This window comes from Homo sapiens, chromosome 2 (genome assembly GCF_000001405.40).
Source record: "Homo sapiens chromosome 2, GRCh38.p14 Primary Assembly".
Classification (NCBI taxonomy): Eukaryota; Metazoa; Chordata; class Mammalia; order Primates; family Hominidae; genus Homo; species Homo sapiens.
In genome coordinates this window covers 227,489,619-227,515,757 of record NC_000002.12, presented here as the reverse complement: position 1 = coordinate 227,515,757, position 26,139 = coordinate 227,489,619, and the positions used below count along the sequence as shown (strand labels likewise).

At 37.6% G+C, this 26,139-nt stretch overlaps 1 protein-coding gene across 4 annotated transcripts in view; it reads right to left on the bottom strand.

Moving 5' to 3' along the window:
• AGFG1 (ArfGAP with FG repeats 1) overlaps positions 1-26,139 on the bottom strand; it is an 89,062-nt gene that overhangs the window by 45,460 nt on the left and 17,463 nt on the right. For all 4 annotated transcript variants that reach the window (NM_001135187.2, NM_004504.5, NM_001135188.2 and 1 more), the window contains exon 2: positions 24,118-24,211. In NM_001135187.2, coding sequence (NP_001128659.1) covers positions 24,118-24,211 — 94 coding nt within the window. The remainder of the gene's footprint in view (positions 1-24,117; positions 24,212-26,139) is intronic.

Genomic DNA, 26,139 nt, shown 5'->3' with positions numbered 1-26,139 from the left:
TGGGAAAAAAGGGAGAGAATGAACTAACTAGGAAGCACTGAAGACTTGTGGCCATCAATATATAAAGTGAAACTAGTCCGAAGGCTTTTTTTCTCCAGCTTTATCTGGCTATTTAGGTAAAAGTAGGTAGAATATTGGTTTAATCAAGCAGAATATGACAGAAGTTGGAAAAAGGTGATTATATTAACAGACCATGGAATCTAAGCTAAGAAAAATAAAGACATCAGGAGGAAGACGGATAACAAAGGGATTTAGTGAAATGAAGGAATAGAGATGCTGATGATTGTCCCAAAATTGTTGGCTCCAGTATTAGAGTAAGCCAGGAAGAGAGAATCAGTGGTGGTCAGAGAGCTGGATGCTTGAAACTGAAATCTGGGAGGTGATACAGTTATCAATCAATAAAAGGTCTAAAGTAGTATGAAGGATCACTGGAGGTCAAGGAATTCAGAGGGCCATGCAGATATCTACGTGGATACTGGAATTGCCAAAATGATTAACACTAGTGAGAATAAAAACAGTACCTAAAATGAATGAGGGGGCTGAATACGATGGCTCACTCCTGTAATCCCAGCACTTTGCGAGGCCCAAACGGATGGATTGCTTGAGCCCAGGAATTCAAGACCAGCCTGGGCAACATGGCAAAATACAGTCTCTACAAAAAATATAAAAATTCACTGAGCATGGTGGTGCATGTGTAGTCCCAGCTACTCGGGAGGCTGAGGTGAGAGAATCACCTGAGCCTGGCAAGTAGAGGTTGCAGTCACCCTTGATCATACCACTCTACTCCATCCTGGGTGTCATACAGTGAGACCCTGTCTCTAAATAAATAAATAAATACTGAATGAGGGAGACCGACTGGTATGACTGCAACAAGAAGATGCAGCAAGTGATAAAATCTATTGACATTAAAAGTGGGGGTGAGGGGCTAAAAACAGCACTGAGGAGCAAGAATGACACCTAAAACAAGGAATTATATGCAACAATGGAATTGGTTTTGATGGTCTCTTTTGGGGGAGGTGAATAATCAATTCTAATTGTAGAATAATGTGATGGTTATGGTAGTTAATGAGCTTGGACAAGGGAATCAGACTGCATGAGTTTGAATTCCAACTCTGTATGCTGCTATTTGACTTGAGCAAGTTAACATTTATCTGTAAAATGCAAATAATAATATAACCTATTTCATAGGGAGGTTTAGAGTTAAGTAAATTAATATATGTTTTGTACTGGGAACAGGTATATAAACTTTAAATAGTATTAGTTTGGCCAGGTGCAGTGGCTCACGTCTATAATCCCAGCACTTTGCGGGGTCAGGAGGTAAAGACCAGCCTGGACGAAATGGTGAAACCCCGTCTCTACTAAGAACACACACAAAAAAATAAGCCGGGCATGGTGGCATGCACCTGTAATTCCAGCTACTCAGAAGGCTGAGGCAGGAGAATTGCTTGAGCCCGGGAGGCAGAAGGTGCAGTGAGCTGAGATCGTGCCACTGTACTCCAGCCTGGGTGACAGAGCAAGACTGTCTCAAAAAACAACAAAAAAAATTGTATTAGTTATATTACTTTTGGGCCTGGTCTCTTAAGTGGTTTGCAGTGATGGGCTATGGAGTGATGAAATAAGCAATGACTGGGAAGGGTGGTCTTACCAGGAAAATACAGGAAGCTGTAGATCTCCCTTCATTCCTGCTGCAGACACAATCATAGTGGTCTTGACAGAGCACTCTCCCTCCTCTGAACTTCTAGCATTTTGTAGCTCTCACAGGAAACTCATTCCAAACTGCCTAGTAGTAGAATCACGGAGCATGTGTCTCATTTACTTTTGGATTCCCCATAATGCTTCAAATAATGGGCTGTGCCATATTAAGTGTTCAATAAACTGGCAATACTCAAAGCCAGATATTATGGAAGAACTAAAAATAAAATCACACCAGACAACAGAATAAATTCATAAAATTGATAATTTTTTCCCTTAGTCCTAATCCACTCTATAATTGGAATCATAACAGACACTGACAGAATCTAAAACATGTTAAAGCATATTTTATCAGTCAGTTACTATAGAAATGGATGGCACAGTCAATTTGGATAATTTGAAGGAAGTTTAATAAGGAGACTGTTACGAAGCATAGGTGGGTTGTAAGGAAATCACAAGTGAGAGTGTTATATCCCAGGGTTAGTAACAGCAGGGCATATCACTACCCATTGGCAGTAAAGCAGGGGAAGAAAGAAAAATGTCAGCTGCCTGATAGGAACTGGAAACTTCAATGGAAGGATGCGGCCAGGCTACAGAAATCCCACAGGAAGAAGTCATGAAAAGTAAAAATCCTAACCTCTCTCTCCTCCTTTCCTTCAATCAGCTGAAAATGTTCCCCACCAGCTGAACCCAACTAGAAAGCAGGGACAAGAAGCCCATTTGTATATCCAGACAGACCAGCTGCTTGGAGCCAGAGCAGGGAAAAGACTGGAGTGAGAAGTGCAGATAGCAGCTATCCAGCACAGCAGCCAACTCATGATAATAAATATATACAGGGCTAGCAATTTAACAAACTCAGTTATGAATACCAAAAATAGGAAACCTCCATACTCATTCCCAATTACTCATATATAAAAGGAAAGGTAAGAATCAGTATTATATCAGTAATCCTTGAGGGGGACAGCAAATTGGAGTGGAAACTTGTTGAAATGGATATTCACCTTTATTTGGAGAAAACCTTATTTTCATAAAAAGGATAAAAAGAATAAACCACATGGCATGACTCTGCTTATAACCTCTATATAGAAAGATAAAAGAATAAGGAAAGGACAGAGGATCTGGAATTTAGAGAATCTTTTTTCACTAAGCCAATCTACATACATCCAACTAGATTTCATACTTTCTTTTTTGTCCTTTCTCTATTAGTAGAGATGGAGTAATCCTCTAGGTAATCCTGCCTCCTTTTGTATGTAAGATATAATCACAGCACTTAATAATTCTGCCCATAAAACACAGGAACAAATAACAGAATAGTTTAAAAACTGAAAATTTGATGAACAAGTAATCAATATCCACTTTTTGGAAGTAGAAAAACTGAACAAAAATAAATATTAACAAACAGTAAATACCATTAGAAGCTCTCTAAACAGGTACCGTGGACCTATACAAAATTCTATTACCAACATATTATTTTGCCCTAAAAGGAATAAACGAGGGAGAAAAAGTCCATACTCAGAGAAATAATCTCAAATATATGCCATGACTCAAGTAAAATACTGGAAAAACAAGTACATTATTAAGTACATTATTAACATTTCCTACACGGATCCAGCCTACATTACTTTGACTGTATTGCTAGACCACCAGCTGATTAGTATTTCTGACTGACACATATCTAAACAATACATAAACTGAATGATGCCTGCACAAACAAAAACACTATCCACATGTGCTTTATACAAGAGAAACTGATGGTTTTGCATTTACATACATCTTTTTTAGGAACTTTACAGTATACTCTATCTTAACATTTGGTTTTATAAAATGTGCTAGCAAGAATTAGAACTTATGCAACTGAGTAACTAAAAATAGGCACACACAAGCTGTATGTGAGATCTCTGAGGCATAGTGCCTTTGTGAACCAGCCACATAAATGGACAGGTAAGGTAGTATCAGACTTAGGCGATATGAAATCCGACTTGTTTATTTTGTCCTAGGGTTTCTTTAAAAGTAATTTATTTAAGCACAAACTACCTTATAACAGCTTCCTTAACGTAAAAATCAAATTCTTCATCACAGCCTATTAGGCTTAACAGAATGTGACCCCTGATTAGCCCTCCAAACTAATTTCTAAACTCTTTCCAGCCTACTGGCCTCCTCAGAAAGTCTTCCCTAACCACCCAATCCAAAGGGACAATAATCCCTCTACCAAATCGCAGATACGCACTCTCACATTATTTTCACTACCTTTATCTCATAATTTTTAAATGCTATGTCATGAGGCAGGAACCTCCTCTCTGATTCAACACTATTTGTATGCTTGGTACCTGACACACAGTAAGCACTTAATACCTGGTGTATGAGTGAAAGCAACTTCCTTAACAGCCCTCAAATGTATGCACAATAGAAATTCTCTTTTTTCTTTTGTTCCATCTAAAATATACACACTGACCTAGAACATTTAGTTCCCCAACTTATTTAGGTAGAAATAATAAATTCACTGATCCAAATTCTCACGTCATATACAGCCAGGGATCAGCAAACTGGGCTAAATCTGGGGCCTATGTGTGTAGATAAAGTTTTCTTAGAACACAGTCACACCCACTTGCTTACGTATTGTCTATGACTACTTTCAGCTACAACATCAGCATTAACTGCAACAAAGACCTTATGGCACCCATAAAGCCTAAAATATTTACTATCTGACTCTCACAGAAAAAGTGTGCCAACCCCTAACATACCTACAACCATGGACTATGCTACCATCCCAGCATCCAAGACTAGTAACAATTTAAATAGGATAATAAAAACCTGTTTTAGAGGCATATCTAAACAATACATAAACTGAATGATGCCTGCACAAACAAAAACATATTAGAATGTGCACAGGGAATAACATAGAGAGATGGGCAAAAACTTTCCCCTGGAGGAAGAACTTCCCAACAGCAAGGACTATCTGAGAGCCAATTTATTATACATACTGATTCACTTGATAATATAGGAGAAAAAGTACCAGAATAAGTTTTGGTGAAAGATTAATAGGTATTTAACACTTGTTTTCTAAGTAACTACTAAGTACAAAGAAACAGAAATGATAAAACATTTGAAAAGGGATTAGGAAATCTCACAAAGGAAAAAAAAGAAGCAAATATTTAGAATACTAGAGAGAAATATAATGCAATGGATAGTAAGAAAACTTACTTGCAAGTATCTGCGTTGTGAAGGAGAGCAACAACTCTAATTCAGACATCTACCATAAGGACTTAGTAAAGGGCAGCACACACAGCTCACATACCCATACCTTATTTCACTTAAGGTCTCTAACATCAGAACTGTGTTCTAGATAGGATGAAAAGAATCGAAACCCAGCTATATTAGCTTGGAGAAAAACAGATTTGCAGACAGCATACACCAAAGCACTCCACCAAAATAAAACAAATACTTCATGGGAACCAGGAATGCAAACAGGAAACTATCTGGGACCTGGGCAGTCTGAGTGCCTATCTCCTAAGCCCCCTCTCAACTCACCCCTCCACCAAGACATAGTTTATCATTTTGCTTCTCATACTATGTCTTGTCTCCACTCTTGCTTCTCTAAAGTACTACTTTTTGTTTGTTTACTTGTCAGCCTGCACAGAGCCCACTACATACAATTTTTCAGTTCAGATGACTCGTTGTTTTGAATACAGCCTCTGTGAACCTTAATTCAATTTCTGAAGAAACAGGACCTGATAAGTCACTAGCCCCAGGGTTAGGTGTCCATTCCTGGTACAATCAGGGGTGTGGATGTGTGTGCGTGTGCATGTGTGTGTGTGTATGTGTGGTGCTGTGTTTCGTGGTTTTCCCAGGGCAATAAGCCTTCTCTTCTTTCAGTAAGGAGCATGAGTACAGTAAGCACCCCTCCCTACCCCCCTCAACACACAGGTTATTTATGAATGAACTTTGTAAATTACAAAGAGCTTTATAAATTTAAGACTTATTATTAGTGAAGTCATAGTAGTTTCAAGGAAGATTATCATCTGCCCAACTATCTCAAACTAAGATAACATAAGTAAATTACCCTGTATGGTATGGTGCCTGGCACAGAACAAGGGCTCTGCCTTTTAATTTTATTTACTCTGCCTTTCACGAGTTTCCTTGTTTTATCTAGTTAAATATATCAGTTTTTACTTTGTGACTTCTTCCATTGCTTTCAGTCTATAAAGTTCTTCTGCATTCAAATGCTAAATATGTAGTTGGCTATTTGGCTGTATTTTCTATAGTAATCACTCTTTGTGTTTTACTGTTACCCACCCCCACCATGTATACATCCTTAAACATTACAATTTAGTTCTGCTTGGTTTTTTAATTACAAAATAATTTATTTTACAGAAAAGTTGATAGTGGAAACACATCCCACATACCCTTTACCAAGTCTCCAACGGTAACATTTGCTTTATCATTCTCTTGAGAAAAATAATTTTTTTAATGAACCATTTAAATTGGTGACATAACAAGCCTTTTACCCCTAAATGTATATTTCCTAAAAATAAGTACGTTCTTTTACATAACCATAGCACAATTATCAAAATCAAGACATTAATATTTTATATTATCTGATCTAAAGATTAGTCAGTAATCTTAATAATGGCCTTTATAGCAAAAAGAAAAGGTTTTCCTTGTCCAGAATCCATTAACTGTCTTGTCTCTTTTAATGTGGAACATTCTTTACTCTTTCTGTCTTTCATGACTATGATATCTTTGAAGAGTACAGGCCAGCTGTTTGGTGGTATGTCTCTTCCTCTGGGCTTCCTCATGATTAAATTAAAGTTACGTATTTTGGGGAAGATACTATGTAAGTGACGTGTCCTTCCCAGTGTATCATTATGAAGAAAGATACACAACATCAATTTGTCCCAGTACTGGTGTATACTTGGATTATTTGGTTAAAATGTATCTTTATCCATTTAAAGTCACTGTTTGTCCCCCTTGGGATTAATAAACATTTTGCAGGTAGATCTTTTGAGACTGTTTTCTACATGTTTATGGCTTCCTTTATGACTTACATTTTAATGCTAAAATTTTTCTGAAATTTTGGTGTATCATGTCAGGTAACATTCTAGTTAATTTTCCATTCATTGAATAACCAACTTCCACACTGAATGCTGAAATTCTTTTGTTTTACAAGATCATCCACATTTATAATATATGAAGGTTACAGTATATCTCAGGATCTAATCTACAGATCCGTGCCTATCCTTGCACTAGTTTCAGGTTGCTTTAATTATTGACTATTTACAAACAGTAAATAATTTTACAAATTATTCCCAACTAGTTTTACTTTTCTGTTCTTTTGGATGAGCTTTAGAATTATTTCCTAAAAAGAAAAAAAAAAAAATCCCAACAGTGTTTCCATTCCAATTGTTCTAAACTTACTTTGTGACGCCTCTTAAAGCAAAGCATTCTCACTCCCAAAGATATTATGAATCTGATATGCAAGGTTTCAAGGAAAAATTAACCAAAGGTGTGTTCTTGCCTCCCTACCTCACATATAGATGTACACACAGAAAAAGCTTTACATTTTTTACATTTTCCAGAATACACCTGGAACAAACAAGGAGTTGAGCAAGGGAGTAGCAGAAGAGGGCTAGCTTGTTTGGTCATATAACCTTCAGAAATGATTAAGAACTTTATATTTTGTCTTGATATGAAGTAAGAATTGTTTGTGGATTATCTATGGTTTAAGGATATCATCAATACCAGCCACCTCTTAAAACAAATACACTCATCCATTATTTAGTTCAATCTAGGACTCAATCATAGTGATCTATTTGTACTGATACTCTATTGTCTTGTTGTCCTGGTGACTGAAGGCATGCATTTGTGAGGCAGCTGACCGAGGTTTAGAATGTAGTCATTGGCCAAGGAACAGAGAGAATTAGCACAAATTCAAAACAAGCCCCTGAAGTAAACCACATTTGTACAATATTCTATGTAAATAAACCAAGAGGTGGGGAAGAAACAGTTTTCTTTCAACATTTCTGAATACACGGGTGGCTCACAGGTTAATTAAAAAAAAAAAAAGGAACATTCAGGCAAAGCTCTTCTAGGTAAAAACAAGATTTGCAGAAGTTTTAAATAGGTTTCAAAAACAGATTACCTCATTGAACAAAGAGGGGAAAATTTGGGCATCAGCAAGAATAACTGAGTGAAACATATCAAATAAATAAATTCATAGTAATTTAAAAAAAACCTAATTGCTTGCTGTTGGAAATGTTATGAAACTATTTTGAAGAGTTCAATATTGAAGACCACAAATGGTGGTGCACCATATCTACTGATATTTATAAATAGTTTTAATGTTCTTAAAAGAAGAATAAAACTATTGCATCTTAATGTAAATAACTTTTATTTATAAAAACAGCTTTTTCCAAAACAAAAAAAATTAGTGAAAAGGCGCTTTTTTTTTTTTTTTTTTTTTTTTGAGACAGAGTCTCGCTCTGTCGTCCAGGCTGCAGTGCAGTGGCGCCATCTCGGCTCACTGCAAGCTCCGCCTCCCGGGTTCATGCCATTCTCCTGCCTCAGCCTCCCAAGCAGCTGGGACTACAGGCATGTGCCACCACGCCCAGCTAATTTGTTAGTATTTTTAGTAGAGACAGGATTTCACCATGTTAGCCAAGATGGTCTCGATCTCCTGACCTCGTGGATCCACCTGCCTCGGCCTCCCAAAAGTGCTGGGATTACTGTTGTAATTTTTGTAAACTTCATTAATGCCTTGTTAGGTAGGAGCCAGCTGATTTCTCATCTGCTTCCGCATTTTTATGTTATGTAGCTTCTGGAAAACTCTGTATACCCATGAAAACAGGAGTAAAAAAACAGCAAACTGAGTCTCAGTATTATTAAATTTTTTTTTTTAACTTTAAAGAACCTCTGAAAAGGTCTCAAGGATCCCTTACAAGTCCCAAACTGTACTTGGAAAACTACTGAGTTAGACTATCACCATTTTACAATTGCTAATTAGTGGATGTAGGCACTGAGCATTAGCTGCTAACATGACCAAAAATTAAAACTTTTAAAGTGGTTTTTGATTAAAAAAACACCACACAACCTATGAAATAGTGGATCTTTCCCATTCCTGAAATTAAGCCTGAATCTTAAGAAACTACTACAGCCAACCACCGGTTTATAGGTAACTGGGAGAACAGAGGAACGTTGACACTACGTGGATGGCATTAGCAAAATCCAGAAGGTGGAATAAATGACTTGGTTAGCAGGAGGGCAGAGAATAAGAATGAGTGACTGGAGAGGAAACTTAGAGGATAAAAAAAGACTTAAAAGGGCGAGCAGTGTAGATTTCCACCAGTAGTGGCAAAAAGCCTCAGGTTAAAACCCCAACTCTCCAGCAGATAACAACTATAAACTCTGGACAAAGTCTATTAAGACACTACAGAGCAACCACAAACAAGCTGAAGAGGAAAGAAACAGCACTAGGTATGTGCCTATGTGCTTTTTTTTTTTTTTTTTTTTTAAGGAACATCACTTGAAAGCAGTCATGCAGGGCTGCTAAAACTCAAACAGAAATACACAAGCCTTAAAGCTTAAAGTACAAGAAGACAAGAGGTTCACCACAGCCATAGCAACTGGAAAGTGAGGGCTAAATCCCAGAAGAGAGATGGCCAGAGAAAGAAAATAGGTACCACAAAACTTGCATATCCACTTTTCCCAAGTCTCTGGCTCACTCCTGACCTATGTGTGCATGGGGCTGACTTCAAACAGTTCAATTAAAGAACTGAGCAGATTTCAGCTGGCACTCATCATGGGAGCAGCAGAATTTGCTAAAGTAAAAAACAAAACAATTAAAACCAATAGTTTATGAAGGAACAAAACAGAATCCAGAGGCACTACATATACAAAGAAACAGGAAATTATGACCCATAATCAAAAGAAAAATCAAACAGCGACAGATTCTGCAATGATAAAGATTTTAGAATAAGCAGGCAATAACTTAAAATAGCTAGTATACTTATATTCAAAAACATATTACAGGCTGGGTGCAGTGGCTCATGCCTGTAATCCCAGCATTTTGGAAGGCCAAGGCAGGTGGATCACGAGATTAGGAGTTCAAGACCAGCCTGGCCAAGACAGTGAAACTGAAACCCTGTCTCTACTAAAAATACAAAAATTAGCCAGGCATGGTGGCGGGTGCCTGTAATCCCAGCTACTCGGGAGGCTGAGGCAGAGAATCACTTGAACCTGGGAGGCGGAGGTTGCACTGAGCCAAGATTGTGCCACTGCACTCCAGCCTGGACGACAGAATAAGACTCCGTCTCAAAAACAAACAAACAAACAAAAAAAACAAAATAAAAAGACCATATCATATAAGAAAACATCCTTGCAATAAATAAAAATGAACAAAATCTGAGCAGAGAAATGGAAACTCTAGAAATAACAGAAAAAATACAAATGCTAGAGATGGAAAAGACAATATCTAAAGTTAAAAATTAGAGCTTAGAGATAACAGAAGAGTGAGCTTAGGATAAGAGAGAAATTGTCCAATCTGGAAAGTAAAAAGATGGAGGGAAAAAAATTAAGAGCCTCTGGAAACTGCAGAACAGTATCAAAATGCCTAACATCCATGCAATTGGAATCTCAGAAGGAGAGCTGAGAGAGAATGAGGCAGAAAAAATATTTGGAAGGAAAATGATAAAATTTTCCCAATTTGGTAAATGAAAAATGTACAGATTCAAGATCATCATCAACCACAAGTAGGATAAATACATACACATACACAAAGCATATCCAGGTGCATCACAGTCACATTCTGAAAACAAAAATAAAGTGTTTCACAACTACCCATCACTACAAAGAAAAAACAATATAAGTATGAGATAAAGTAAATTTCAAAAAAGAGTATTATCAAACATAAAAAAGATATTACATAATGGTGGCATAATCAAGAAGACATAATAATTATATAACAGCACCAATAATAAAGTTTCAAAATACATGCAGCAAAAAATGATGTATTTATTACAGAAAAAAATATGTAAATCCACACCAGCTGTCCAATTCTATCTGCAGTTGCTTAACTAGACGAAATCAGTAACGTGGATCCACAACATCTAAACACCATCAATCACAGAGCTATAATTGTCATTTATAGAACACTACACCCAACAACTTCAGAAAACACACTCCTTTCAAGTACACACTGTACACTCACCAAGACAGAACACGTGCTGGACCATAAAGAGATCTCAATAAAAAGGAAAGCAGTGAAAATATATCAAAAATGTTCACTGATGATACAGAATTAACTCAGCAATCAATTACAGAAAAGGACCTAGGAAAACCTCAAATATGTAAAAATTAAACCACTACTTCTAAATAAATCAATGGGTCAAAGAAGGCCCACAAGGGCAATTAGAAAACATTTTGAACCAAATGATAAAATACATCAACATTTGTATAGCACAGTTAAGTAGAGCTTAGAGGGAAAATGATCACTTTAAAATGTTAATAGTTGACAATATGAGTTTGAACTGTGCATGTCCGCTTAAACACAAATTTTTTCAATAAAAGTTACACCAAGTTGGCTGGGCACAGTGGCTCAAGCCCATAACCCCAGCACTCTGGGAGGCCAAGGCAGGCGGATCATTTGGGCCCAAAAGTTAGAGACCAGCCTGGGCAACATAGTGAAGCTCTATCTCTACTCAAAATACAAAAATGAGCCAGGCGTGGTGGTGTATGCCTGTGGTCCCAGGTGCTTGGGAGGCTGAGGTGGGAGAGTCACCTGAGCCCAGGAAGTCAAGGCTGCAGTAAGCCATGATCCAGCCACCGCACTCCAGCCCGGGAGTGACGGAAGTTGAGACCCTATCTCAAAAAAAAAAAAAAAAAATTTACACCAAGTGTCCCTGCCTCTTCCGCCTCCCCTCCACCTCTCCAGTCTGTTATCTCCAAGACAGCAAGACCAGTCCCTCCCTCCTCCTCTTCCTCCTCCTCAGCCTACTGAACACAATCTACTTCCACTTAATAAACAGTAAATACATTTTCCCTTCTTTATTAATGTCTTAATAACATTATCTTTCCTCTAACTCTGTATTCAAAGAGCAAGCTGTAGAATCAATGACCTCAGGTCCCACCTTTAGTAAGCTAAAAATGAGGAAATAACCCAGAGTAAACAGAAGGAAATAATAAAAGAGCAAAGTAATTATAGATCCCATACACATTAAGAGAACAAGACTATTATGAATAACTTTATGTCAATAAATATGACAACTTAGATGAAATGAGCAAATTCCCTGAAAAGTACAATTTATCAAAACCAATATGACAAACAGATAATCTGCACTGTGGTCATTTTCACTCTCCACCACAGTGACACTCAGATCCTGGTGTGCCTTTCCAACTTCCCAAAGAGCCCAGTCATCTCAATTTGGGCAGCTGGTCAAAGGTGACTGAGTCATCAACTCCCAGATTCCACCACTTGGTGCCCAAAGCTGCCAACAGTGGAGGGAGAAATGAGGAAGGAAGGGAGAGAAAATCCAGCTTGGTCTCCATGTCTCACAATGGTAGCTCAATCAGGTAGACCATATAAAAACAGGCAACAGGCCAAATTTGGCCCACAGGCTTTAGTTGGTCAACCCCTGACCCAGAATATCTAACGCAATCTTTAAAAACAGAAAACTGAAGGATTTGTACTACCTGACTTCAAGATTTACTAGGAAAGCAGAGTAACCAAAAGACAGTGTTGTATGGCATAAGGGTTAACAAATACACAAATGACACTATATAATAGAGAGCATATAACCCGTAATTATACGGTCATTTCTTTTTTTTTTTTTTTTAATTGAGACAACTTCTCACTTTGTTGCCCAGGCTAGAATGCAGTGGTGCAATCACAGCTCACTGCAGCCTAAAACCTCCCCAAAGCTCAGGTGATCCCCCCACCTCAGCCTCCCAACTAGCTGGGAATACAGGTGCACACCACCATGCCTGGCTAACTTTTGTATTTTTTGTAGAGACAGGGTCTCACCATGTTGCCCAGGTTGGTCTTGAACTCCTGGGCTCAAGCCATCTGCCCACCTCTGCCTCCCAAAGTGCTAGGATTACAGACGTGAACCACCATGCCCTGCCTGGTCATTTCATTTTTGACAAAGACTCCAAAGCAACACCGAGGAAAGAAAAGTGTTTTCAACAATAGAGCTAGAAGTGTATATATTCATGTAAAAATATGAAACTCAATCCCTATCACACCATACACTAAAATTAATTTGAGATGGATCACAGATGTAAATGTAAAGCTTCTAAAATAAATAAGATTATCCTCATGATTTGAGAGGAAGCAGATTTTTTAAGACAGAGAAGAGGAACCATTCACTATAAAACAAAAAACTAATAAATTGTATTTCATCAAAATGACAAAACTTCCGCTTGCCAAAAGATATCAAAAAGAAAATAAATGAGGGCCAGGCATGGTGGCTCATGCCTGTAATCCCAGCACTTTGGGAGGCCGAGGCAGGTGGATCACCTGAGGTCAGGAGTTCCAGATCTGCCTGGCCTACATGGCAAATCCTCATCTCTACTAAATTACAAAAAATTAGCTGGGACTGGTGGTGTGCGCTTGTGGTCCTAGCTACTCGGGAGGCTGGGGCACAAGAACCAACTGAACCCAGAAGGCGGAGGTTGCAGTGAGCCAAGATCGCGTCACTGTACTCCAGTCTGGGCAACAGAGTGAGACTCTGTCTCAAAAAATTAAAAACAAAAAACAAAAAACCACAGACTGGGAGAAAATATTTACTAAGGATATATCTGACAAAGAAGAATGAACAAATTATAATTTATTCATAGAATAGAAGCCAATACTTGGTAATAAACAGGAAAAAGTACAAGCATCCACGTGCATAACTCTCAAAAGAAGGTTTACTTTGGTTGGGCACTGTGGCTCAGGCCTGTAATCCTCGCACTTTGGGAGGCCAAGACAGGTGGATCGCTTTAGTCAGGAGTTTGAGACCAACTTGGGCAACACAGTGAGATCTCGTCTCTACAAAAATAAACAGTATTAGCCAGGCATGGTGGCACGCACCTGTAGTCCCAGCTACTTGGGAGGTTAAGGTGGGAGAACTGCTTAAGCACAGGTGGTCAAGGCTGCAGTGAGCTGTAATCGCACCACTGCACTCCAGCCTGGACAACAGAGTAAGAACCTACCTCAAAAAAAATAAAAAAGGAAGGAGGGTTATTTTAAAAATCACATTTTAACTTACTTTATATGAATGTGAATAAAAAAACAAAACAGTGCCTCAGAAGTAGACTCCGTCTCTACTAAAAATAAAAAAATGGGCCACGCGTGGTGGTGTATGCCTATGGTCCCAGCTGCTCAGGAGGCTGAGGTGGAAGAATCACCTGAGCCCAGGAAGTCAAGGCTGCAGTAAGCCGTGATCCAGCCACTGCACTCCAGCCTGGGAGTGACAGAAGTTGAGACCCTGTCTCAAAAAATTCAGGGAAGGACTGAATAGGAAGAAGTGTCCAGTGACTGTCTGTAATGATGTTTATGTGTATATTTGTATAGGGCTTTGGATTACCAAATTGGAAGCAATGATCAAAACTCATCCAAAAGTACACTTAAGATTCTTAAGTTTCACTGTATGTAAATTATACCTCAAAAAATTGAACGAATACTGAATTCTAATTAATGATAGATATACTGGGTTAGGCCCAATGGCTCATGCCTATAATCCCAACACTTTAGGAGGCCAAGGTGGACAGATCACCTGAGGTCAGGAGTTCAAGACCATCCTGGCCAACATGGCAAAACCCCATCTCTACTAAAAATACAAAAACTAGCCCAGCAAGGTGGTGGGTGCCTGTAGCCCCAGCTACTCTGGAGGCTGAAGCAGGAGAATCTCTTGAATCCAGGAGGTGGAAGTTGCAGTTAGCCAAGATCACACTACTCCAGCCTGAGCGACAAGACCAAGACTCTGTCAAAAAAAATTAGGCTGGGCACGGTGGCTCACGCCTGTAATCCCAGCACTTTGAGAGGCTGAGGTAGGTGGATCACCTGAGATCAGGAGTTCAAGACCAGCCTGGCCAATATGATGAACCCTCGTCTCTACTAAAAACACAAAAAATTAGCTGGGCGTGGTGGCGAGCGCCTGTAATCCCAGCTACTCAGGAGGCTAAGGCAGGAGAATCACTTGAACCTGGGAGGCAGTGGTTGCAGTGAGCCAAGATCATGCCACTGCACTCCAGCCTGGGCAACAAGAGCGAAACTCTGTCTCAAAAAAAAAATTTTTTTTTTAATTTAATTTAATTTAAAAATAAAAAAGATAGATATATTGCAGTTTATACAAGTAATGTGAACTAATGTTTTGAGCTTACTTTGAAATATCAGATGGACTGATGAATGGATACAGATATCTGCTGAGGCAAATATAGCACAATGTTTATTGTACCTGTATAATTTTTCAACTTTTATGTATTTGGAATTTTCCATAATAATGTTGGAGGAGGGGACGAAAACAGGCAGATCTGGCCATTGTGCTATGGCTCTGAGCATTCTCTACCCAAGTCCAGAGTCTTGCTGTAGCTACCTAGGACAGCAGGTTCTGAGAGACAATGTAGCAGATAGCCAAACCAGGCTCCCTGCAGGCAGACAAGCTGGTGAACCACTGCTCACCTGCCATAAGACCTATGACACTATGCTGCCATTAGATGGCACAAAGCAGGACAAGTTCTCCTATCAAAAGATAACTGCTCACAGACACTCCATCCTTGGAAAGAACCTAGGATCACAGGCCAGTATGAGATTGTCCTTGGGGAAGTAGTGGGAGTCATGGTCCAGTAAGAGACTGACCAAAAAATATCACCCAAATCAACAAGAAGTTCTTGCAGGCATGGCCTTTGGCTACTACTACCCAAACCTTAAACATCATTACCAATTCCTCAAAAACCTATGAGGCTGGAGGGCCTGTTTGTTTTCTTCTTACCAGCTCATAACGTACCCCATAACCACATGGCATACTCTGTTGCCAAAATGAATGTCAGCTGCCGTCCTGACAGACAAACAGGCTTCTTGTCCTGCAGTAAGAACCCAACATCAATTTTAAGGAGACTGAGTAGCAGCTGATGCCAGAGCAATGAAAAAGACACAGGAAAAGGACTACAACTCAGATGTGTACCAGGTAGCACTCGGGCTGCGTCCGTGTCCCATAAGGCACTGAAGTCACCTGAGCTGCTATGTTTCCCAGGGACTTTAAGCCGGCAGGGGCCCCAGGTTATAGATTATCCAGCTCCAGAATAACTACCTGGCCTGAGGCCCCTAACACAAACCTCTGCCTGAATCTATGCCACATACTACTAATACAGGTCCATTCCAGTCCAATCTTTGTAGGTGTCACTGTGATCCATCTAGCCTCCAATCCCTTTTTTTCTTCCTTTTTTTTTTTTTTGAGACAGAGTCTCACTCTGTCACCCAGGCTGGAGTACAGTGGTGCCATCTTGGCTCACTACAACCTCTGCCTGCTGGGTTCAAGTGATTCTTGTGCCTTGGCCTCCAGAGTAGTTGGGATTACAGGCACACGCCACCACGCCCAGCAAATTTTTGTATTTTTAGTAGAGATGGGGTTTTGCCATGTTGCCCAAGCTAGACTCGAACTCCTGGCCTCAAGTGATCTGCCTGCCTCAGCCTCCCAAAGTGCTGGGATTACAAACATGAGGCATGGTGCCCAGCCAAGCCTCCAATCCTTTATAAGCAATACAAAGTTTTAAAGCCCATTTTAACCACTCGATGTGTGGATATTACCTGGATCCTCATTCAAACAAACCATTAAGAAAAAAAAAAGAAAAGTAAGATACTGATGAACAACAGAAAACTTAAAACACTGACCAGATGACTAGATTACTGTTAATTGTCATAGGGACAAAAATAGCACTGTTGCCATATATATTTTAAAGTCCTTGAAATTTACAGATAACATGAGAGTTGAGTTTACAGATGAAATTTTATGTCTCGCATTTGCTTAAAAATAATAAAAAGACAGCCATGTGTTGATGGAAGTTTGTTACATTATCTACTTGTCTAAAGGCATGAATAACTCCACAAAAAAACTCTTTAAAAAAGAAACAAAAGCATCTAATGATTTATATTGTTTTAATTCGAGTCAAGTAAGATTTTTTAGAAGATAACACACAATGGCAAGAAAAAAACAAGCTAAGAGATTACAGGAAGCTAGAATGGTAAGGCAAACAGCTAGAAAGAAATACACTGTAACCTGGAATATGTAATGTAAAAAAAGTTAAGTAAACTCTCAGAGTAGTTACAAACAACATCTAGCTTCTTCTATAAATCTCTGGGTTTTCTGTCATTCAAAAAGACCCACGGATTATGATATGTTCAACACAAAGACATGTCTACATTTTCTACATTTTTGTTAGTGTATTTCTCTGAAAGCCAACAGTTAACATCAAATAATATACTCTAAATATTTTCAACTTTACTAAGTTACTACTGACTAGATTCAGCTAATATTTAGAAGAGCCATAGCACCATACCTTCCTTTCAAAATGCTTAAAAGGCCAGACGTGCATAAATATGCAGACACTAAATAAATATCCCTTAAATAATAACAATAGTGTGCTTTAATATTTTAATTGGATGGTTTTAAACCTGAGATATCCCTCTAGGAAGCTATTCCCTCAAATAATTAATTTTGTAGTTTAAAATGTTTTTCAATGTATTATTAGTGAATGTTTTCATTTATTAATACCATCATACTGACTGAAATTCTGCAAAAATTTATCTCCACCCTAAATTCAATTCAAAGCATGCCATGTTCCTATGTGATACTTATTTTCTGTGTTTAGGAATCAACTGGAAAAGTATCTTTGCCCATAAAAGCACGATCTTGGGCAAGTTACCAAACCTGGGGAAAAAAATTTTTTTTTAATTTTAAAAAATAAAATAAAACCATGATCTTACATCTATATAATACATCAATTTTCAAAATGTTTTCCTATATACTACCTTCAAATCAACCTCATGAAATAGGCAAAACAGATATTTCCCACAGATTACAAAGGAAAATGAAGGTCAGGGAAAAGTGGTTTCCCCAAGGTAACAAGGTTCATAAATTAGTGGTAATCAAACTAAACCACGGATTTTTTTGAGTCCTAGCAAATTAGCCAGGCATGGTGGTACATGCCTGTAATCCCAGCTACTTGGGAGGCTGAGGCAGGAGAATCACTTGAATCTGGGAGGTGGAGGTTGCAGTGAGCCAAGATTGCACCACTGCACTCCAGCCTAGGCGACAGAGTAAGACTCCGTCCCCAAAAAAAAAAAAAAAAAAAAAAAAAACAAAACAAGAAAGAAACTCATTTGGCTATATATGCTTGTGCATTTTCACTGCTTTAGGTATAATTAAGACGTATGCAAGATTATGCCACAGAGATGTCTATAATGTCTTGAGGGCAGTAAGACCAATACAGAAGAAACTAAGAGCAATAACAAAAAAAATTTTTTTTTGTAAATCTTACAGTGAATGTTATTTTTTAAACAGTTTAAAATACATATGGGGGTGTTAGTATCTGAGGTATAAAAACTCCTGAAAGACTGATGGGATTAGAAGAGAAAAGTCAAGCAAAAATAAAAGCCAGCATTGGTAAAATGGCAAGAAAATTAGAATACAGATAGCACATGTGGAAAACAAAACAAAGATCATTGTAGTTAAAACATTTCTGCTGGCAATAACGTCATTACATTAAGAAGTCAGGTCATAAAAAGATTTACATTGCAAGCTGAAACGTTAAGAGTTCTATACATCTTCAATCTGCAGACCAAACTGGGTCATCACTAGCCTGTTTTTATACTGCCTTAATCTAAAGATGGTTTTTACACTAAAGAATTGTGTGTGTGGGGTGGGGGGGGAAGAGGGGGTGAATTTCAAACAAGGATATGCAACAGAGAATACAGGTGGCCCACAAAGCCTACAATATTTACTATCTGGCCACTACAAGCAGTTTGCCAACCCCTGCCATAGGCAACAGAATAGCTGTAAATCCTGAATTAATGAGTATATAACTTAACTCTGCCACTCTACATGGCAATATGTTGTTACTAAAATAACTATCAATTTTCATTATTATTAAACTCAGCAGAAAATCGAAGTTAAAATGCTCCAAGAGTTTAAATACATAACCCGAATATTAATGTAAATGACATGACAGTATGCTATGAAAACTGAAAAATCCCCCTACAGAAACCATCCAAACCAGGAATGAAAATAAAAATTGATAATTCTTCTTATAACTTCTACCACTTTAGATTCAGATTCAATAAATAAATACTATCTGACAAGAAATACGCTGGGAATTTTCACAAGTTGGCCTAATTCAAAAAATCCTAGCATTTTTATACATAGGTATTATAGTTACTACCAATAGAAATTAAGGCTAAAAAGCTTCTTGCCCAAGGTTCACAACCTGCATAGTCCAAATCTGAGCTTTCAGCACAAGACCACTGTACTTTTATTATGTCTCCTGCATGTAGAAGACTGCAAGGGGAGGACAGGAATCATCTCCCTTTTTGTATCCCTAGGACCTAAGGACAGTTCCTGGCACACAGCAGGCTATTTTATTTATTTTTTTTTTTTGAGACGGAGTCTCGCTCTATCGCCCAAGCTGGAGTGCAGTGGCGCAATCTCGGCTCACTGCAAGCTCCACCACCCAGGTTCACGCCATTCTCCCACAGTAGGTAATTTATTAATAAATCTCTGCTTCAAAAATGAATCAATCATGAATGTTAACAAGGGAAAAGTGTACGTTATTGCATGGGTTTTCAAAGCAATCATTTTGTTTTGTTTTTAATCCAGTATAGAGATAATCAAATACTGGCATGCAATGCCTGATTTTACTCCTACACATAGACCATGCCTGTGGAGCATTAATAATAATGTCTTCTTTTTTTTTCTTTTTTTTTTTTTTGAGACAGTCTCACTCTGTTGCCCAGGCTGAAGTGCAGTGGCACAATCTCACTGTAACCTCCACCTCCCAGGTTCAAGCGATTCTCCCACCTCAGTCTCCCAAGTACCTGGGATTACAGGCACACACCACCATGCCTGGCTAATTTTTTTTTTTAATATATATATATTTTTAGTAGAGACAGAGTTTCGCCACGTTGGCCAGGCTGGTCTTGAACTCCTGGCCTCAACTGATCCATTCGCCTCAGCCTCCCAAACAGCTGGGATTACAAGCATGAGCCACTGCACTTGGCCAGTAGTAATGCTTTTACTTTTAGTCTTCAAACATATTAGGAAGGTTAACTTACAACTAGAAAACATAAACTATACATATTTCAAAATAAAATTATTTCTAAATTTTCTTCTCCATTGAATTATCTACTTACAGCAGTGTTCACCAGTCCACCTTCCGTTAACTTTATAATCAGAAGTTAATCCAACTTCCTTTAACTAGAAAACCATAATTTGCCCATGACATCACAAATGAGGACATACAGAAAATCACTATAGATTTTTTTTTTTTTTTTTTTGAGACAGTATCTCGCTTGGTCACCGAGGCTGGTGTGCAGTTGCATGATCATGACTTACTGCAGCCTTGAACTCCAGGGCTCAAGCAATGCTCCCACCTCAGCCTCCTGGGTAGCCGGGACTACAGATGTGTACCACCACGCCTGGCTAATTTTTAAATTTTTGGAGAGATGGGATCTCGCTTTGTTGCCTAGGTTGATCTCGAATTCCTGGCCTCAAGGGATCCTCCCACCTCCACCTCCCAAAGTGCTGGGATTACAGGGGAGCTACAGTGCCAAGATCACTACAGGTTTTTTTTTAAAGTAACTGTATGATACAAAAGAAATACATGGAAACTTTTTGTGAAATATTCTGGTTCTGAAAAAAATGACAAAAATTACTTCAGCAAATAAATACAAAGTGCTCCAATGCGAAATATTTTACTAGCATCTGGCATATTATGTGCTGTAACTTAATGATATACATATCTCCTCCACCAAACACACTGTAGAAGTCTATAAACACTAAAGTAATAGTCAAGAAATTTGTAAACCACATCTGTAGAAACTAATGATCTACTCTGTAAGTATGGTCTCTATGCATATCTATAAATAGTAATAACATTATTTGCTTACCACAGCTACCAATACAGATATACTTTATTGATGACTAAAATACAATTCGTATTGCCATCAGTTGTGTGATTGTATCCATGCCCTTTGCCCTGTAACTTGGTAGCCCCTCTCACTCTGATTCTGGGCTTGGAGCATGACTTTCTTTGGCAATAGGATGTTCAACTACAATGCAAGTATTAAGACAGAATTAAATTATATATGCAGAAGACCATACACAGATGTTTCCCACATATAAATGTCTGGAGGAACATTCATAGCATATGGCATGCAGGTTAATTCTGTTCAACACATTACAAGTCATTCATCATTCATGGTGCTTGCCTGCTTAAGCCAGCAACATCTTCCAATAGTGACAACAACCAAACATGCCCCACAGCTCACTAAAACTCCCTGGTGGGGATCAAAGATCCAAGGCTGCTGCCAAAGCCAATATACTTTCTGATCTTTTAATTTTGGAAATACTCATCTTCAGGCATGAACTCATTCATGCACAAGATGTATGATAGAGCCTTTTTAATCCAAAACTTATGTGACTGAATATGGCCCTTTCCAAACTATTAAAAGGTGACGAGAGAATATGGCAACTTATTTTGAAATGTAAACTTACGTTCTGGTACTATTCCCTATGCAAGTGATATTTACCATTTAAAGGTTTAAAAAAGATAAACTGATAATAGAACACTTGCACGTGAAATCCATAAAGATTTGGTTATAAAGCTGTACCAACTGTCCCACACTTCGTATCTTCATCACCCTCTACACACCTCTCAAAATTTTAAGAACACAGATACTGTTAATACTGTAAAGAACCAAACATACCTGTCCATTATTTTGGTTCTAAGATGTTCTTTGGTATACTATAAGAAGGTATGTTTGTCTTCCTTAACAAGCATTTACAAGGTTAGTATATTTCCTAGCAACCTATTGCAAGTTTCCCTTTTTCTTTTTGTACTGTTTGCTCCATCTTCAGTGACTTCCACTACCAGCTTAGGTTCTAGTTACCCTCAAAAACCAACAAATGTGTTATCTGTTCTGTCGGGTCTTCCCAATCCTCTCCTTTCCACCAAAATACTGATTCCCTTTTTCCATACTACTGCTGATACTTCTTATTCTTATCATTATTTATCTAATACCATGTTGCAATTATCTGTTATGTATCTGTCACACCAACTGTGAGCCCTTTGTCCACTAAGCCGGTGTAACACATCTATAACCACATCCCTAATACCCAGCACAGTGACAGTGATTGTCATGGTAAGTGCTTTGAGTGGTCTATCAACTTGCAAACCTCTTTGTAGGACTTAAGATTCATAAATACATTTCAGTCACTTATAACATTTACATTTTGCTTCTACTTTTTGATACAGTGAGTTCCTAAAAATTAACTAATTCTTTTTATATACTCTAAATTTACCATAATGCTATAGCCTTAAAAAATATTCCTTCAGAAATCCTGCCATACATGACAATAAGGATGAATCTTGAGGACATTACACTAAATATGCCAATCACAGAAGTACAAATATTGTGTAATTCCATTTATATGAGGTATCTAAAATAGTCAAACCCATAGAAGCAGAGAGTAGAATCGGGGCAACAGGGGCAGAAGATAAAATGAGGAGCTGTAATTCAACTGGTATAAAGTTTCAGTTATACAAGATGATTAATTTCTAGAGATCTGCTATACAGCACTATGTCTATAATTAACCATAGAATACTGCACATCTAAAAATTTGTTAAGAGGGTAGATCAATGTTCCCACCACAATTAAAAAAATATATACTCCTTCAATCTTGGTATTGTTTTGGACCAGTCTCCACCTAACCTTATCTCACATATTGTTATATTTTCACTTCTTCAATTGACTGCTGTTATCACAGTTTTGCTACTCTGTTTTTACCTACTGTCATATTTTTAATCTAAAGATAGAATAATATTCTTTATTTCTGATTCCATTCTAATTTCCAAAATTTTGCACACTAAGCCAACATTCTAAGAAAGTAACTTCAAGTGTGCAATGTTAAGTTAATCCTACTTGTAAACTTTACACAAGTAGTTCAAATTGTATTTTAATCAATATATATATTATTCTATGCTTACTCTTCATTAAAAGCCTCCTACCTTTTCATCCAGCTTTACATGTTCTTATAATGTACTCACATTAGTCTGGAATCTGAATACTCAAAATAATTTGTCATCGGCAAAATCTGGAGACTTCAAAATGTGCTCTCTTCTTTAAATAATTTAATATGAAATATTTAAAAATATTTCATAGCTGTGAATTTATATTTCCTCACTATTTTAGAACCAAAAGCAAGTGGACATCACAAGTAGGCAAACAATTTTAAGGTATTACTTTCAGAGTATTAGGAAGAAAGGCAGAGTGTAAAATGCTTGCATATATTTTCTAAGGGTCCAAGGAGAAGATTAAAACTAATAAAATTTTAATATTTAACTTACTTTATGTTTATTAAGGATATCAAAGATGCAACCAGAAGAGTACCACTAAAGTACTACTTATCCTTTCTAGAAAAGGAGACTTTTCTGTCAAATAATAATAGCTATTATTAATCAGCTTGGGTTAACTGGCTCATCCTTATTGCAGGATTATAAAAAAATGCCCACTCTCTTTGTTAATTTTATTAATTTTAAAAATATTAGAAAAATTTTAAAAACTTTTACTAATAGCAAAACACAGAGCTAAAAGCAAACAAGCAAACAGAATAGAATTACTGGAAGCCCATTAAAGGCAAGAAGAAAAAAAGCTTCCATCCAAATCTTTATACCATCTGGCTCCCCATGACACTTAGCTGCCACTGAGAACTACTAACCTCCTCCCTACTGAGCACCTGCTAAACATTACACATCACCTACACGTCCAAAGTTAAAAATTTACGAAAAATAGAGGACTTCAAGTGAAAGCTGATCACACAACACTCTAACAAGTTTAACACAACATCACAAAATGAATTCTCTTCCTCTTTTTTGACTTTTGAAGCGAAGACTAACAATAACTGTAATAATGGGTGTCCTCCGAAACGCCTTTTATATTCAAGACTGATGACTTTTAAATACACACATTTCACCTCAGATTTACGGTAAAGTGTTTATGTAGTAAACATTAATTCCAAATACATTATTAAATGAGTACATTTTAAAATATCTAAATATAAAATACAAAAATAACTTATTTAGACCGTGAAATTCAACGTTTTAAATAACTTATTAAATCTCATTAAAATGACTGCCAACAAAAAAGTCAAAAATTGCAAAAAAAAAAAAAAACCACTTACTTCATTTCCATGTTTTTGTAAGAATTCAATTTCCTGTTGTGTGAATGTTGTCATGGAGATAGATTTCACCCTGTGTGGTGGATTTAATCCTCGCCTAAAAGATAAAATATTTTACAAAATTTACTAGTACATACCACATTTTTAAAATGACACATCTAGTAATTCAAAATATTTCTAACCAACACACAAACTTGAAACAGTGTTTTCATTCCATAAACTCAAAGTATTTTTAAATTATTTTAAACTATTAAACTTAATAATAGATATTAAGGTTTGGTTAGACTCATTAAATAATAGACTTAACAATAAATTCAATTAACCACCTAGTTAAAAACACAAAGTAACTGTGACACATGAGTTTCTAGGAAATGCAAATAGTGCTTTAGTGTGTTTCTGATGAAAAGACTATACATATGAAGAACTCTATGAAAGAATTATTAAAATTCTTTAAATATTTCATATTTCCTAAGAAACAATGATATAATAAGACCAGAGCTATACAAATATCCTTATCAAACAGCTGTTAGCTTTAAATAAGCTTAAGACTAATTTAGAAAACTATATTACAAGTAATATCATGAATTGAGGTAATAAACCAATTAGTAAAGTCCTATCTTGCCATCAATTCAAGTAAGAATTTATAATAAAGAACATTTTCAGTCACCTCAAAAGACAGTGTGTACAAGAGGAAACTGCAGGGACATACGGAAGAGATTCAAAAAAATTGCTGCATGCATGATTTAACAATTTTTAAGGTCCTTTAGAACCCTGAAGCCTTTTCTGTATGGATGGCCTTAAAAGGACTTTACCTTGATGTTTGAACACGCACATGAAAAACCGAGTGGAAATGCACTCAAACAGATTTAATAACTATTTACATGTTGTCCAACTATCTTGTGGGCAGGTCCACCCACAAGAATAATGGCCCAATAATCTATGCAAAATACCAAGTAACCTACGCAAAGTTCCACAGAACTACTTTGGGGTCATGTTCTCTGACAAAGGTCTCATTTGAACTCTAGGTTCTACAGCAATTACTGCAGTAATTTTTTTTTTTTTTTTTGAGACGGAGTCTCGCTCTGTCGCCCAGGCTGGAGTGCAGTGGCGCAGTCTCGGCTCACTGCAAGCTCCACCTCCCGGGTTCACGCCATTCTCCTGCCTCAGTCTCCTGAGTAGCTGGGACTACAGGTACCCGCCACCACGTCCGGCTAATTTTTTGTATTTTTAGTAGAGACAGGGTTTCACCGTGTTAGCCAGGATGTTCTCAATCTCCTGACCTCGTGATCCACCTGCCTCGGCCTCCCAAAGTGCTGGGATTACAGGCGTGAGCGACCACGCCCGGCCAACTGCAGTAATATTTTTAAAGAATTTGTCAGTCAATTTGTAATCATTCACACTAATTAAATAGGATATTTAACAATGATATAAAATAATAAATGTACCAGAAGTTTTTAAAAAATATTTTGGGAACATTTTGAATAATTAAATATGGTGCGTAACATTCTAGAAATTCACGGTATTTTTGGGCTGGGTGCTGTGGTTCACATCTGTAACCCCAGCACTTTGGGGGGCCGAGACGACGAGCTCACCTGAGGTCAGGAGTTCAAGACCAGCCTGGGCAACATGGCAAAACCCTGTCTTTACTAAAAATACAAAAATAAGCTGGGCGTGGTGGCATGCACCTGTAATCTCAGCTACTCGGGAGGCTGAGGCATGAAAATTGCTTGAACCCAGGAGGCAGAGGTTGCAGTGAGCCAAGATCGTGCCACTGCACTCCATCCTGGAAAACAGAGCAAGATTCTGTCTCAAAAAAAAAAAAAAGTATTTTTGCTTGTCAAAACACAAAGGAGAAGCTCCTCAATTCACTGCTTCTTTTTCTCCCTCCCCCTTGTCACAGATAAATGTCATCTTTCAGATCATGATCTGAATTAAGACAAGTTACACTTCATTTGTTTCGAATTTCAAAGTAGGGAAAAGTTAACTTGGGTTTGGTTGTTGTTTTGTTTTGCTTTAAATTTTATA